Source organism: Homo sapiens, chromosome 12, assembly GCF_000001405.40.
Source record: "Homo sapiens chromosome 12, GRCh38.p14 Primary Assembly".
NCBI classification, from domain to species: domain Eukaryota; kingdom Metazoa; phylum Chordata; class Mammalia; order Primates; family Hominidae; genus Homo; species Homo sapiens.
The window spans coordinates 38,868,434-38,885,231 of NC_000012.12; the positions used below are offsets into that span (position 1 = coordinate 38,868,434).

A 16,798-nucleotide genomic window follows, 5' to 3' on the forward strand; every position below is an offset into this window, starting at 1 on the left:
AGTGTTCAATACTTAAAAGATACTTGGTAGAATTAATAAAATGACTAGGAAACTCTTTGAACTCCATAGCATCATAAGAATTCACAAACTTGTAAGAAAATAGAGATAATGAAGTTCAACTTCTTTCCTGATGAATCAATGCAGCCTCTTATTCAATACTTCCAGTAACAGTAAATGCGCTATACTTTCAGGATACAGCTCTGAAAAACCTACTACTGTGGGATACTTTAAGTGTTACAAAGGTTTTCTTCACAGTAGACTAAATATTATCTATTTGTCTCTCCAAACTTTGCTTAAAATTTTTTGTTTTCTCTTGAACATCAAGTATACCCCCATTTCCAAATGAAAATATTTTAAGAGTCTGAAGAAAGTACTGTGAATTGTTCAGTCTTTGCATTTTTTCAGATTAAATATTATTTTATTCGTATGGTATAGTTTCTATCCCTTTCTTCAAAATGGCAGCCCTCTTCAAATACAGCCTTGGCTTTCCAATGGTTTGAAATGTAGATAAAAAAGCAATTTTCCACTGGAGCAAAATGCAATAGTATTCAGTTGAATCACATGAAACTGCCAAGATTCAACCATTTCTGACCTATAAAATATGACAATTTCATATGGTTCAACATAATAGCATTATCTTCCTTGATGTAAACACTGCACATCCATCAATGGATCCTCAGATTGCACTAGCTTTTTAGCAGCTAGGTAACACCACAGCTTCATATTAGGTTTGAGGCCAAGTAAATCCCATAAGTCATTTTCCCATCAACTGCTGGGCTTGTGCAAAGAATTTTACAGAATTTTATAATGCAGGAATTTACCTACCTGCCACTTCCTAGTTTTGTTATCCTTTTACAAGTTGTTTAATGTCTTAGAATTATAATGTATCCTTAATTGTATAGTACTTCTTATGTGCCAGATACTGTTACAAGTGATTCATATTTAATCCTCATAACAGCTATATTAGCTAGAATCATTATCATTATTTCTCATGTTACAAATGAGGAAACAGAGTCACTGAAAGATCAAGTGCATGCCCTCAACCACAACATTATGCTGGCTCTCAAAATAAACTCTTTCTCAAATGGTTTTGTGGGGCTTAGTAACACACACAGTGTCATTCATTTTTTGATCCCTTTTCATTATCCAGCAAGTTCAATTAGTTGCTAAATGTTCCAAAATGCTTGTCTCTTGCATTTCGCACTTCCTTTCTATTCTTCCAGACCATTCTCTCTTTAATACTTTTCACTCTTCTGAAACTATGTTGAAAATGCCTCTTAATTTGTATTTCCCCATCTTCAGCCATCTTCAGCTCCCACCTACTCTATATAACTCTGGGTCCTATCTCATCATTTTCTCCATTTTCATTTTGTTTTCAAACCCTTTTTGATCATTATTCCTTCTTACCAATACTTTTAACTCCTTCAAAAATAAAAAATAAGCAAAATACTCTGTTTTTTCTATTTTAATATTATGCCATTTCTCATAAACTGTAGGCTTCCTCTTTCTACTTGTCTTTCTTTCCAAGCCAAGCATAAGAAAATATTAATAAAGCCCCAAAAATTGATTGGTAAAGTTTCTTTCCATTTATAAACGAAGAGCATAAAGGTTGGTATCAGACAAGAATTCTGCACAGCAAGATGGCCTAATAGCAAGGGCTGTGTAGCCAGATGGCCTGGTGATCATTAAAAAGTCAGGAAACAACAGATGCTAGAGAGGATGTGGAGAAAATAGGAATGCTTTTACACTGTTGGTGGGAGTATAAATTAGTTAAACCATTGTGGAAGACAGTGTGGTGATTCCTCAAGGATCTAGAACTAGAAATACCATTTGACCCAGCAATCCCATTACTGGATATATACCCAAAGGATTATAACTCAATCATTCTACTATAAAGACACATGCACATGTGTGTTTACTGCGGCACTGTTCACAATAGCAAAGACTTGGAACCAACCCAAATGCCCATCAGTGATAGACTGGATAAAGAAAATGTGGCACATACACACCATGGAATGCTATGCAGCCATAAAAAAGGATGAGTTCATGTCCTTTGCAGGGACATGGATGAAGTTGGAAACCATCATTCTCAGCAAACTAACACAGGAACAGAAAACTAAACACCACATGGTCTCCCTCATAAGTGGGAGTTAAACAATGAGAACACATGGACACAGGGAGGGGAACATCACACACCGGGGCCTGTCGGCGGGTGGGGGGCTAGGGGAGAAATAGCATTAGGAGAAATACCTAATGTAGATGACGGGTTGACAGGTGCAGCAAACCACTATGGCACTTGTATACCTATGTAACAAACCTGCACATTCTGCACATGTACCCCTTAACTTAAAGTATAATAAAAATAAATAAATAAATAAATAAAAATAAAAATAAAAATTTAAATAATTTAAAAGTTAAAAAAAAGAAATTCCCACTTTGTCATTTACAACTGGGTAACTTTGGTCTAGTCATTTAACCTTTCTGTGTTTCATTTTTCTCATGAAACATAAGGATTATAATATAACCTACCTCTTAAAGTTGCTGTGAAAACTAAATTAGTCAATATTTGTGAAGGGTTTGGAACATTAGTTAGCCATCTTTATTATAAAAATTGTAAATTAAATAAGAAATTTATCATTCATTGCTTAGGCAATAGGAAAGCATGAGAAATTTTTTAAGGAAGGGAGATTTTGAGCTGAGGCTGCCCTTAAACTAACTGGCCAATACTACTTGGTCAGCACCCACTTAAGAATTAACTCCCAGAACCCTGGTTTAGGTCCAAAATTTTTTGTTGTTGTCCTTCTTCAAACTCCCTTTATCCAATAAAGTTTCCAGTTGCCTCATTATTAGTCATTTGCACTGGCCCAGATGCCTGGTACTATAACTTAGGTATCCTTATCCTGGTTACTTTTTGGTGCCTGAAGCAAAGCCATTTTGTGGACACCCTGGTCAATGCTCAGTCCCATCTAGCCTGGCATCTATGGTCAGTAAGCCGTTCCACTGTATTGTTTCAGGCCTTTGAGAAAGGGAACTCTGGAGAGAATGACAAGACAGCATGTCTTTCAGGAAGATAATCAAAGGGATGATTAGACAGATGAACATGGAAAAAGGGGGCATATACTAAGGTAGGAGAATTGTTGCAACAGGGAGGACAAAAGAGAAAATGGGTCTGAATAAAAAGGCTGGCTTATCCAAGCATGGATTTTTCTTTTTTATGAAAGAGAATTCATAGCACTGGATGACATTAAGTTATGAAGATACGGGAGAGAAACTCAGGATGACTACAAAAATTGCAGTTTCATATTTTGGCTGGTAGTTTTAGCTATATTTGAAGCAAAGAAGAAGCAGACATAGCATAAAGATGATGAGTTTATATTTGATATACAGAGTTTGAGGTAGATATTGAACTAAATAGAAATGAGCTGGGCGTGGTGGCTCACACCTGTAATCCCAGCACTTTGGGAGGCCAAGGCAGGTGGATCACCTGAGGTTGGGAGTTTGAGACTAGCCTGACCAACATGGAGAAACCCCGTCTCTACCAAAAATACAAAATTAGCCGGGCATGGTGGCGCATGCCTGTAATCTCAGCTACTCGGGAGGCTGAGGCAGGAGAATCGCTTGAACCTGGAAGGCAGAGGTTGCAGTGAGCCAAGATTGTGCCATAGCACTCCAGCCTGAGCAATAAGAGTGAAACTCTGTCTCAAACAAAAAAAAAATGTGCAGAAGCAGTTAGATACGATAAACATGTTCAGCAGACTACTGACCACCAGCTCATTATCAGTAGAAACAAGCTTTGAATTATTTTCCCCAGGTTTTAAGAATAAATTAAATGATTTATTCTTGCCCTCTACTCAAAATTGAGACACAGTGGTAAAATGACTGGCAAATGCACTCTGTGGCACAAATAGCACTAACCTCACTAGGGAAATCTAGCCAGAAACTGTAACCTCATTAAAACAATGCACTAACTTCCTGAGATAACTGGCAACTATAGGCAGATGGAAATGCCTTTTATTTAATATGCCCTCCACCTTCCAATGATCATCCGCCCATTTGAATGTGGAGACACTCTAGAAAATAAATTAACAATTCAGTCTCTTCACTTTTGCTTCATTAAACAACATACATTTGTATTAAGAAGCTGAATTTCTACTTTATTTTTAAATATGTTGCAAAAAGTAGGCAATATTTGGTATTAAGCAACACAACTGAAATCTTTTCAAGTGGCATTTTATAAGTATCAGCAATTGATCTCTAAAAATAAGACTTAACCCACAAACTTAAATTTTGTAAGAAATCATGTCAAATAGATTGCAACACATTAAATTTATGTCTGGATAAAGGAAGTACAAGTTTCAGGACTAGAATATCTCACAAGAAGGTCATAAATCAGCTAAACATTCACTGTTATTAAAAACAAAACACAAAGGTAACTTTCCTAAGATAAAAACAATTCAATCTTTGGGTTCAAAAGGACTTACAATGGAAAATAGAAAGTATCATCTTGATCAAGTTATAACTTACTGTATCTTCAAGCCCAGTGATTTTTTTAAAAAAGTTTTAAACTTACCTCTCTCCATTCTTTATTTCCAACTCCTTGTACATATAAGACACAAACTACAAAAGATGAAAAAATACGCACATATAAATGTCTTTTATGAAAATCATATGTGAATGTATACAATTTATTTTTCAGCTGTTCAAAAGCTACATCAAAATTAAATGCCTAATTCCTAGACTTACCCTTGCAAAAAAAAAAGGCTAGTAAATCATCATATGACTAAAAATTGATTTAAATAAGCAGAAAACAAACTGTTATGCCAGATCTTTAGAACTTAGTATGAATTGAGCTTGGCACATAAAATAATAAGTACTTGCTAAGGTCTTCATATATAAATTTTAAAACCATAATTTAAACAATTTGAAATATTTCATTATGTTGTGAAAAACAAGCCAAGCTCTCCCTAAGATATTTACAGTGCTCAAAGGTATAATAGGAACGAAAACTTGGGGCAAGTCATGCTCTACATTTAATATTTATAACTTCCACCCTTAATATTTATAAATAGGTAAGAAATCCTGTCAACCAAGAAAGGAATTCCCAAAAGGGAGATTAAGAGTTTTGGGTAAAGATTAAGGGAAAGGAAGTGTCCCACCCACTTGTCAAATGAGCCCCAGGAATTTTTAATACCCACAATTGCAATGCCTTTTTCCCAATGACTACCTCAAGAATTCTGACAACTGACAAAAACCTTCCCTCTGTAATTCAACCATATTTGTTCACACATTTGTAGAGATAGAGAACTGTTGTATATCCATTTCTAAATATTACAAGATTCGGAAACACATTGATTTATACAGTTCATTCTGCTGTTTTCTAATTCAAACTACCCTTCTCACTTTACAAGTTATCTCCAATTTTCAATACCTCTAATTAGTAATCAAACACTTTGGTTCATATCAGATGTTACATATTTCACTTGGTTGTAAATTGTATATACCACTTTTATTTTATTTTTCTTTTCTTTCTTTTTTTTTTAAGAGACGGGGTTGGGTGGGTCTCACTATGTAGCCCAGGCTGGTCTTGAACTCCTGGGCTCAGGCAATAGTCCTGCTTCGGCCTCCCAAAGTGCTGGGATTATAGGCATGAACCACCTTGCCCGACCACCACTTTCATTTAAAAAAAAAAGAAAAAAAAGAAACGTATTACTCTGTGACTAAATAACTTTAAATTATGGCCCATTACAGTTTTCTTTCAAATATAATAATTTCTACCAAATGGCCATAGTACGAGGTTTTAATTTCAAAGTGAACTGTCCCACATTGGAGTCATTTGCATTCTCATTTTATTCTCAAAGTGCTCAGCAAGTCCCTCTTTACCCACAGTACTGCCCGGGGTTGATGAGTATGTAGGGCTTGGGACCATTCTCCTGTTGCTTTCTAGGCTTTAAAACAAACCTTTAAACAAGAACTATGAGTTTCCTACAACTTTTGCAAAATCAAATGATTTTTCAAAAGGCAAGCAATACATACTTACTTGGATCAGATTTAGAAAATGTGTCTCTGTCAAGAAGATTTCTGTTGAATAAAACAGAAAATGTTAGCTGGATATAAAAGCAAAATATTTATATTTATATAGACATATTAAAATGTGTATGTACATAATTGTGTATATATATATAAACATACTCATACACACACATATACATATATATGACTAAATAAACATGTCCCAAGGGTCTGCTTGTATATATTCAGACTGAACATCACTGGACTCCAAAAATAAGAGAAAGCTTTTATTTTCTCAGACTTTCATTCCACTTAACCAATAACATGACTCCTTACATCCTAAGATTAAAATCTCTTTGAGAGAATTAACTGTTTTAGGTTTCCATTTAATCCTTCATTAAGAATATAAAGGTGTTCAGAAATGCTTCCTGAATTGAATTGTGAGTTGTTATTAATGCAAAATTGTTTGCAGTTCAGAGCACATGATCACGTTAGTCCATATAATTAGAATACAGTTGTGAAGCAGCATCTACTGACATTTGTGTTACATCAACCCTGATGAGTTTTATGTTGCTATTACGGTTTCGGAATTTAAGATGAACATAGAGATGTTGCCTGAAGACTCTTTTCAGTAAACATTAAAAAAGTACACAAGGCCATTATTAGTACTTTTTTTTCCAGATATTTCTAAAATAGAATAACAATGGAAAATCAGAAAGTAGGAAAGCCTGGATTCCTCTGATACTAGTGTATTGCTACCCTCAGTGGTAGTAATGCAGTCCTATACTTTATGCTCATAACAATAACCCTGAGTACTCATTAAAAAGTTAAATTCAATATGCTCTGATTCACAAGGCAGGAAATTATTAGAAAAATTTCCACCTAAAATTAGTTTTTATAAAATTATGATTTAAAGCTATATGCTTTTCTGAAAAATTTGATTATCTAGAATGATGACTTGAGGGTTCTAAAAGTTCAAATTTGTGTTTAATAATCATCTTCCATTAATTAAAATGGAGTAGCTAAATTACATTTCAATTTGTAATACTTATAATAAAAATCTCGTGTTCAAGCTGTCTTATTTTCCACTAGGACTACTATTCATGTGCATTTATTTGTACTGCCCTTGGTATCTGAAAAGTCCCTTTTTCATATAAATCTGGCATCCTTTCTTATTTCAGGTTCTCAAAAGTGATTGCCGCCATTGAATCACTATACACTGAAAAAACAAAAACATATTCAACAAACCAATGCAGCACAAACAATGAAATGAGATCATGTCTTGAAATATTCCTAGAAAGGAGAAACATCAGACATACTCATATTTGGAATTAAATCAGATTAGAAGACCACTAGTCAGTAATCACATTAAATTAATCCTTTCTGTCCCCTGAGCAGACACCATGACTCCAGCAACGGTTAGCAAACAGTAAACTAAAACATTTCCATTTGAGAAATTACTGTGACATTATATTTATTATACAAAGGTAGTTCTTCACTTAAGTGGGAATTCTCCCAATCCTTCCTGTGACTCAAGCTTTTGCTCATTAGGTATCCTAGGAAAATATTATGCTGTTTCTTTCAGAATTCACAAAAAAACAGAGATGACAGTGCAAAATATTGTGATGTGGCTGTGACTCAAAAACTATGCTATGTACGTATTTAACAGAAAATCATGTAGTTTCAATGCCTTACTTATGTAAAAAAAAATAAACTACAAGTTTTAACCACAAATACAAAATAAAGGATTTCTATAAACAATAGGACAGATGAGTATTCTTTTTTTTTGAGACGAACTTTCACTCGTTACCCAGGCTGGAGTGCAATGGTGCGATCTCTGTTCATTGCAACCTCCGCCTTCCAGGTTCAAGTGATTCTCCTGCCTCAGCCTCCCGAGAGTAGCTGGGATTACAGGCATGTGCCATCACGCCCAGCTAATTTTGTATTTTTAGTAGAGACAGGGTTTCTCCATGTTGGTCAGGCTGGTCTCAAACTCCCGACCTCAGGTGATCCACCCACCTCTGCCTCCCAAAGTGCTGGGATTACAGGCATGAGCCACTGCACCCCGCTGAGATTAGTATTCTTAATCATAAACTTTACTTGTCACATTGTTTCACTCAGCCATTGTGATCCATAACACATAATGGTAAGATCAAAAATAAAACAAGCCAACAAAAAACCCTTTGTATAATGACAAGTAAAAATCTATAAATCTTCATAACATAGTCTGAAATTTGCAATTTAACTTTCCAATTATATTTGGTAATAATTTTACCTGTACTTTGGTCATATGAATATAATAGAATAGATTATCTCTGACAGGTTGAATTCCCAAAAGACTACTTTACTCAAGCATATATGATCGCAAAGTTGGAAAAGGAAAATATTCTTAGTGATGTATACACTGCAAAAGACCAGTGATTGTTAAAATGCACCATTCAGTTTAGATTTATTTTAGGAATAAGAATTTTATCTTCCCAATATCCTATTAGAAGCAAAGCCCATTCACATTAAGTAAAATAAGATAGGTATTATTGTGAAGGCCATTTCATAAATTCAGAAACTAAGCTGGGGCTCAGAGAAAGTGAGTGAATGAGTCAATGTACACAGCCCAGTACAGAATAATCTAATGGTACCAATCATTCTGAATCTGATTCTTCTGTTCTTTACAAAATACCTCAGTTTCTGGAGAAATCCAGAAGACTTCTTATTTTCTATGAGTATTGAAAATGTCAAAGGCCTCCAATTTTACCTACCACATGAATATAAAGGAAAATAAATTCCTGTTCATAGACTAGTATAAAGAGAGATGCTGCTTATAGAATGAGGACAGAAAACCAGAATGAGAGGCCAAACCCACTATATTTTTCATAGAAAAAAATCTTTGTTTTTTATATATTGCACTTTTAAAAATAAACATACACACACCCCTCCATGACCAGATTTTATATGAGAAGGCTACTCTTCCCTCCATGGACTTGTCATCTGCTTGAGCTAGGATGCCTGTAACTTTGTTCCTACCATTTTATAACATGATGTTGAACATCAACACTAGGTTAAAAGTCCTGAACATGTCTTTCTATTCTGCAAATCTAGATGTAGCTAATACAAAAGAACAAATTCTTCAATAGAAATTTTGGAAAAATACAGTGTACAAGTTAGAAAAATTATCTGATGAAATATCTAATCAAAATTATAACCTATAAATTGCCTGAGTTGTTCTAGTATCCACTCATCCTCAAATTCCATTAAAATTCCTAGACTATGAGCTTAAAGGGGGATAACTGAAATAGCATAACTAAAGCCGAGGCCCAGCCAATTTAATTCTAACCTGTAGGAAGAAATACTATCAGAAGTCTTCAAACCACAGCAACTCCATCTTGAATAGGGGCTAGGTAAAATAAGGCTGAGACCTGCTAGGCTGCATTCCCAGGAGGTTAAGGCATCCTTAGTCACAGTATAAGGAGACTGGCACAAGATGCAGGTCATAAAGACCCTTCTGATAAAACAGGTTGCAGTAAAGAAGCTGGCCAAAACTCACCAAAACCAAGATGGTGATGAGAGTGACCTCTGGTCTTCCTCACTGCTACACTCCCACCCGGGCCATGACAGTTTACAAATGCCATGGCAACATCAGGAAGTACCCTATATGTTCTAAAAAGGGAAGGCATGAATAATCCACCCCGTGGATATAATCAAGAAATAACCATAAAAATGGGCAACCAGCAGCCCTCGGCACTCCTCTGCCCATGGAGTAGCTGTTCTTTTGTTCCTTTTCTTTCTTAATAAACTTGCTTTCACTTTATTGACTCACCTCGAAATCTTTCTTGGGCAACATCCAAGAACCCTTTCTTGGGGTCTGGATCGGGACACCTTTCTAGTAACATCACTGGGTTAACTGGAGAGGTGTATTTTGCGTGAAATGTAAATTAAAAAGTAGATAAGCAGGAATTTAGCAACACCTTTCCAAAACCATCCAAGATAAAGAATTCCCTGACTCCTGTGCCTTCCTACTCAATTCTCATGCATATTCATCCTTGAGAACAGCCTGCCTTCTCCTAAACACAACAGTCAGTTAGCTCATCTGATAACCCAGCCTGCTCTGATTTTATGCTCAACAAGTCATCTTCCAAATTTAAGACAGTTTCCCATATAGTAGTTACTGAGTAGCCAATATGAATATCACAGTTGTCTTTACTGTTGTAGTTTTTATTGTCAGTCGGCATTCTGAGACCCACACTGAACAGCCAGCTAGCCTCTTAAAATTGTATCTCATGCTTGTCTTTCTCAAACTGGAAAGTAGCAATTCTCTTTCAACTTCAAAGCAAATCTGCAAGTATTTTTCAAGCAAATAATCTATGGCCAAGACCTAACTAAGCACTATCAAAAATAATACAATCTGCATTAAAGGTTTATTTCAAGAAGGCTGAATTTTATTTACAGAAATAACTAAACAGCAATATAGGATGGTGTATAAAATCACAGTTTATTATAGGGAGAAAGAACAGTAATCTAAAAACTGTCAAATTGATTCAGCTACGACAACAACAACAACAAAAGCCAGGTACAGTAATTAGTTCTTATTCCAACTATTTTTCAAATAATCGATAATCATATATATAATTTAAGTGATCTAAATAAATATATGTCCTGAAATAAGTACCTTATTGAGAGAGTCAGGTGGGAGGGGGTCCCTGGCAAAACTCCAACCAGCCTGTGCACTGGGAATGCACACTGTGGTGGAGCCATAGTTTGCCCCATTTGCAGCGGGGAGGAGCCTGGCCACTCCTCTTCCTGCGTAGAACCTGAGATTCAAATTGCCAGATAGGAAGCAGCCCAGTAGGGACCCTGGCTTTACAGAGAGTCTCTGTTTCCCCTTTTTTTTTTCCTTTTTGCCAACTACATCCCATTTTTCTCCCTCCTCGAATTGTCTGTGAGCCTAAATTTTCATGGCCATGGGACAAGGACCCTGTCTTTAGCCAAACTAAGGAAAAAATCCTGCAATATTATTTTTAAAAAGCTAAGTATTTTGTCTATTATATTTATATGTATTAAGGATTTAATAGTAGAAAATAAAAACTTTGAATTCTTCATATGTATAATGAGCAAAACATGATGTATTTAAAGTAAAAAGTGACTTGTGAGTTAATCCTAAAGTTGCAGGCATGCTACTCACTCTTTCCTGCTCAGCAGATAAAATCACCTAATAAATATTCTTGTTAAAAAATCCTTTAAAAGGGAAACAAATATCATTATCCTTCCACAGATGAAATTTGAAAAAGACGACCTGTGTGTGAATTTTAAAGTTAATAGTTTCAGAGTAAAGGCAATTTTGCTATTTGTGATCTTTTTAAAGTTCTAATTTAATTAAAAAATTAGAAATTTTTAAAGTTCTAATTCAATAAAAAAAAACATACAAGATACTTGTTTTAGGGGTTAAGTCCTCAACTTGGAGACATAAAATTAATTCCAAAAAGCACTGTGACCAGAAGTGAAACAACACATTAAAAAATCTACTGCTGTACCTTGAGTGCAATTTTTCTATTTAATTTTCAACAGGAATGGAAATATAGTTTGTAAATAGAGCCCAACAAAAAATATTTAATTTTCTATAGGGACAAAAATACAGTTTATAAGTAGAGCCAAACAATGCTTTATCATTTTGCAAACACTGTCCAGAATAAATTTTCCACATGTGGACAGAGACCAGTATCTCTGAATCATAATGTCCCCTGCAAATTGCCCTGTGTCAATAAACAGAATGATTCTGGTTTTAATTAAAATTTTGTAAATTATTAAGGGCCTTTTATTTATCTATTTTTCAGGGTAGTCTCTGGACCACTGATAGCCTGCAAAGTCTTTACCAAATGTTGCTTAGGCAGCTACAGAAACTAACTAGCACAAGCTTGCACATAAGTGGGGCCCGTTGAATGAACAAAGAGTTTTAGTCTCCAATCTAAAGCACCATCTTTTTTCACTTTAGGTAAGGTTAGGTGTTTTATTATAGAAGGCAGAGTAGAAGGGGAATCTAGCATTTGGGGCCTTTGCTCTAATAGGTAATCCATTAACTGAAAATCCCTGAGAGTGACAGCATCACTGAGCCCCGTGTCACTGAACCATGCCCACGGCCTTTATTTAGGGCATTATGTTATCTTATGGACTGGAATCAGAAAGTTATTTGTATGTATATATATTTTTTAATGTACATACACACAAAATGGTTTTCAGAATTTTTTTTATGAAGACAAGGAAATCAAAACTTTTTTTGAGCAACTGAAAGCAAATTTAATCTTTGGAAGTGATTTAAATGCAATGTTTAATTCTCTCTGATTCATTCATTCTTTTATTCACTGAATAAACAATACCCTGAGAAATTTAACATAACACACTTCAGGAAAAAATATTTTTCCCAAAACTACAATTTCTATAGCAAGGGGAGCCAAACTGTGTACAGGCAAAAAGGAAAGGTTTAGAAATGAAAAAAAAGGCCGGGAGCGGTGGCTCATGCCTGTAATCCCAGCACTTTGGGAGGCCAAGACGGGTGGATCACGAGGTCAGGAGATTGAGACCATCCTAGCTAACACGGTGAAACCCCGTCTCTACTAAAAATACAAAAAATTAGCTGGGCGTGGTGGCGGGCGCCTTCATTCCCGGCTACTCGGGAGGCTAAGACAGGAGAATGGCGTGAACCCGGGAGGCGGAGCTTGCAGTGAGCCGAGATCGCACCACTGCACTCCAGCCTGGCGGACACAGCGAGATTCCGTCTCAAAAAAAAAAAAAAAAGAAATATTTTAAAACCGAAACTTACTAAAAAGCCGAAGTCAGCTAGCATCTAAGATACCAAGTAATTCTGAAGGATAGGGTCATTGGAAAGTACTTAACAAGATTATCTGGCTTTCAAGAAAGTTAAGAATAATTGACTTTCAGATTTGAAGCTGCACAAATAGACTAAAAAATTCAGTTCAACAGCTTCCTCTGGTAGCCTGAATATACAGCAAGAACTTTATCATAAATGACAGATATTACCCAACAGACACTAGGGATAAAAGAAATTTTAAGTTATTTTTCAGTTTCTGCTGAAATTGGTTGTTCAAAGTACTTATTACTACTGTTAAGCTGAAAAGGCCAGTTATAAAATTATAGTTTCAACCTTTGCATGGGTGAATTTGGGTTAGACACTAACAGAAATTTGAGGAGAGGAGAATTAACTGTAAAATTTTTTATATTCGTTCTGAAGCATTCAACCGTGATTGATATCCTTGGAAACTACTTAAAAAGAAACCTATGCTTTGTCAGAACTTGACATGTCAGAGCTCTGGTTAGCCTGAGATAAATACAAGAACCTACGGGTTTGAAGTAATGGAGGGTTAACTCAGGGTAATGCAAGCTTTCAGAAAAAGATACAGAATGCAATTCCTGATTTCAGCTGGAAAAGGGAAACATGTTTATGCTTTAAAAAAATGGAGAAAAAAAAGAGACTGAGAGCAGGATATGGGTCTTCTTAAAAACCTAAATCTCAGGTACAAAACTAAATTCATTACCTTTTCCCCAATCTTATGGCTCCTGTATTTTCTGTCCTAGTAAATGACAACTGTGAAAGAAAAATAATGGACACCCAAACATATCAGGTCCAAATCCCTGGAACCTGTAAATGTGACCTTATTTGGAAGAGGTCTCTGCAGACGTGATTAAACTATAAATCCTGAGATGAGTAGATTACCCTGGATTATCTTGGAAGGCCAAAAATTCAATCACATATATCATATATAAGAGGAAGGCAGAGGGAGATTTGACACTTACAGAAGAGACAAGACAGTGACAGCACAGAGAGAGTTGTAGATTTTGGCCTTGAAGATTAGAGTGATGCAGTCACAAGCCAAAGCATGCTAGCAGCAACCACCAGGAGCTGGAAAAGGCAAAGAATGGATTGTCCACTAGAGCAGCTGGAGGGACATCAGCCCTGCCAACACCTTGATTTCAGCCCGGCAATACTGATTTAGGACTTTTGGCATCCAGACCTGTGAGAAAATAAATTTCTGTTCTTTTAAGCCAACAAGGTTGTGGCAATTTATTATAACAGCCACAGGAAACGAGTACAGCCAGTAACACTGTCCAACCTCTCCTCCAAGCAAGACGCCTCAGTAACAGGTCATCTTGTCTCCCATATCCCAGTTCATTCACCAAGACACCTCCAGGAGAAAGCTCTCTACTGTAAACGCTTGAGCAAATGCCTCGCTTGCAAAAAACCCATTACCTCCAGAAATTCCAAACTCCGTAACACTGCACTGAGCACCTGCCACATTCTGACCCCTGGCTATGTCTCCAGCTGCACCTCTATCCATATTATTTCTTACAGACTTTGCTTCCAGACACTTCAGATTCTTTGCAGTCCCTCAAATGAATCCTGCCTCACACTTCTCTACACTTAGACGTTTTACCCATAGCATTCTGTTTCCCAAAATTTCCTCACCAACCCCTTTCCTGCTAGGAAATGAGAATTCCTCTTTCAGCCTCTCTCCATGGCTCTGTCCTAGCATGCAGAACTGATTATTTCCCCCAGGTGCCCCATCACACTCAACAAGAATCTGTATCACAAATTGCACACCTACTATTTATTTACTAAGTGCCAGGCGCTGAGCTGGGCATTTAAATAAATCATTTCACTTAACCCTCACCATAATCCTACCAAGTAGCAATTATTAGCAGGATCCATTTTCCAAATAAGTTAATCAAATTCAGAGAGGTTAAATAAAGTGGCCAAAGTCACAGAAAAGGCAAACACTTGGAGGCGGCTTTGCAAATTTTCTATTGATTTCTGAATTTGATTTTGATTTTTGATGTCTGTTTTTGTTACACTATTCATCTATATCATTCAGAACAAAATGAAATGAGCTGCAAATAATGTTATTATTTAGCATCATTTCAGAGACTCTACAGAGAAAGATATAAAATAAAAATTAGGCAGTATTGGAAAGAGAAAAATTAAATTACTTGCAGAAGATTTAATTTTGTACACAGAAAAAAGCAAGAGAATTAACAAATAAAAGCTTTTTAAATTAATAAGATAATTCAGTAGAGTGATTGGGAGCTTGATGAATACATAATAGTCAATAATTCTCCTGGGTATCAACTGTTCATCATTCTATCCAACTAGGCTGTTTAGTAGTGATATGTTGCCTTCAATTGCTGAAGTATGTGAGCTATGCAGCTCTCACTATAACCTCACTCCAAAATAGTATGTTACCAAGAAAGCAAGTCTCAGGCCAAATTGTGCCAAAGTGACAAATATTCATTACCAAGAAGAACTCAAAACAGTCACACAGTGTACTCCATCAGTTTAATCAACTTCCAGCTCCCTGTCCTTTCAGACACTCTAAATAGCACCTTCAGGCAGATGTGACAATATTCTGTTGACAGTGTCTAACTTTCTGGTCAGATAAGTGTAGAGAATTCTCTAAACATTTATATCCATTACCTAAGGCGTCCCTAGGCCTACGGCACCACTCTAAAGGTCACTAGGCATGTATCTCCCGTTCACTTGAGCAATATTTCTAGCTAATCCACAGTATCTTTTTATAACAGTTTTATTCAGAGGTAAATGAAATACTATAAAATTTGCCCTTTTAAAGTGTACAATCCAGTGGTTGATAGTATATTCACAGAGTTGTGCAACTACTACCACTATCTAATTTTAGAATATTTTCCTCTCTCCTCCCACCAAAAACACCCTGAACCCATCAAAAATCACACCCTATTCCACTTCCCCGAGCCCCTGGTAACCACTAATCTTTCTGTCTCCATGTATTTGCCTATTCTGAGCATTTCATGTAAATAGAATCATGATCATATACAATATGTGCTCTTTTTGTGACTAGCTTCTTTCAAGTACATGATGTTTTGAAGATTCAGCCATGTTGTAGTATCTGTCAGTACTTCATTCCGTTTTATTGCCAAATCATATTCTATTGTATGGATATACTACTTTGGTTCATCGATTCATAGATATTTGGGTTGTTTCTATTTTTTGGCTATTATGAATAATACTGCAATGAAGATTTGTACAAGTTTTTATGCGGACATATGGTTTCACTTCTCTGGGGTACATACCTAACAGAATTGCTGGGTCCTATGGTAACACTATTTTTAAAATCTGAAAAAACTGCCAAACTATTTTCCAAAGTGACTGCATTATATTACATTCCTACCAGCAATATATAATTGTTCCAATTTCTCCACATCCTCTCCAATGTTATTGTCAGTCTTTTTTTTTATAATTGTATAGTGGTATGAAGTAGTCAATCCACATACCTGATCACCACACGTTTTATCAGTTTGGTTTTTTTAAGCCTAACATCCATTGTAATTACAAAACGCTCTCGTGTTGATAAAGGGTAAAGACAGTCTACCAGTTAGGAGTAGCCACTTCCAGAGCATGAGCTACTGATTAAACTTCCAATGCTAACTCCCCACACCCAAAGTATATAAAACTGATTAGGATCCTTGAGATTTAACTCTACAGTCTAACACACACATCTATATGACACTCTCTGCTGAAATATTTTAAAGTAAATTACAGAGAAAAATCATCAACCACAATCAATTGAAAAAAAGATGAAGAAAATGTAACATATTATTTTAAAATTTTGGCATAAAGGATACTTTCTAAGCTTTATATGAAGCCTAGAGAAAAAATTAATTTATATGATAATGAATGTATTTTAAACTTATATACAGAAAATGATATAATAATTAAACTCAAAATGCAACATTTGTTACATATATCATATAC

General features: G+C 35.7%; 1 protein-coding gene across 7 annotated transcripts in view; it reads right to left on the reverse strand.

Moving 5' to 3' along the window:
• The window catches only part of CPNE8 (copine 8), a 254,633-nt gene that overhangs the window by 216,231 nt on the left and 21,604 nt on the right, over window positions 1-16,798 (reverse strand). For all 7 annotated transcript variants that reach the window (XR_245896.5, XR_007063052.1, XM_017018852.2 and 4 more), the window contains exons 2-3: window positions 6,038-6,078; window positions 4,571-4,617 (exon numbers count right to left, since the gene is read on the reverse strand). Coding sequence is in view for 4 of the 7 variants with exons in the window: in NM_153634.3 (NP_705898.1) it covers window positions 4,571-4,617; window positions 6,038-6,078 (88 nt within the window). In the remaining 3 variants the exon portion in view is untranslated. The remainder of the gene's footprint in view (window positions 1-4,570; window positions 4,618-6,037; window positions 6,079-16,798) is intronic.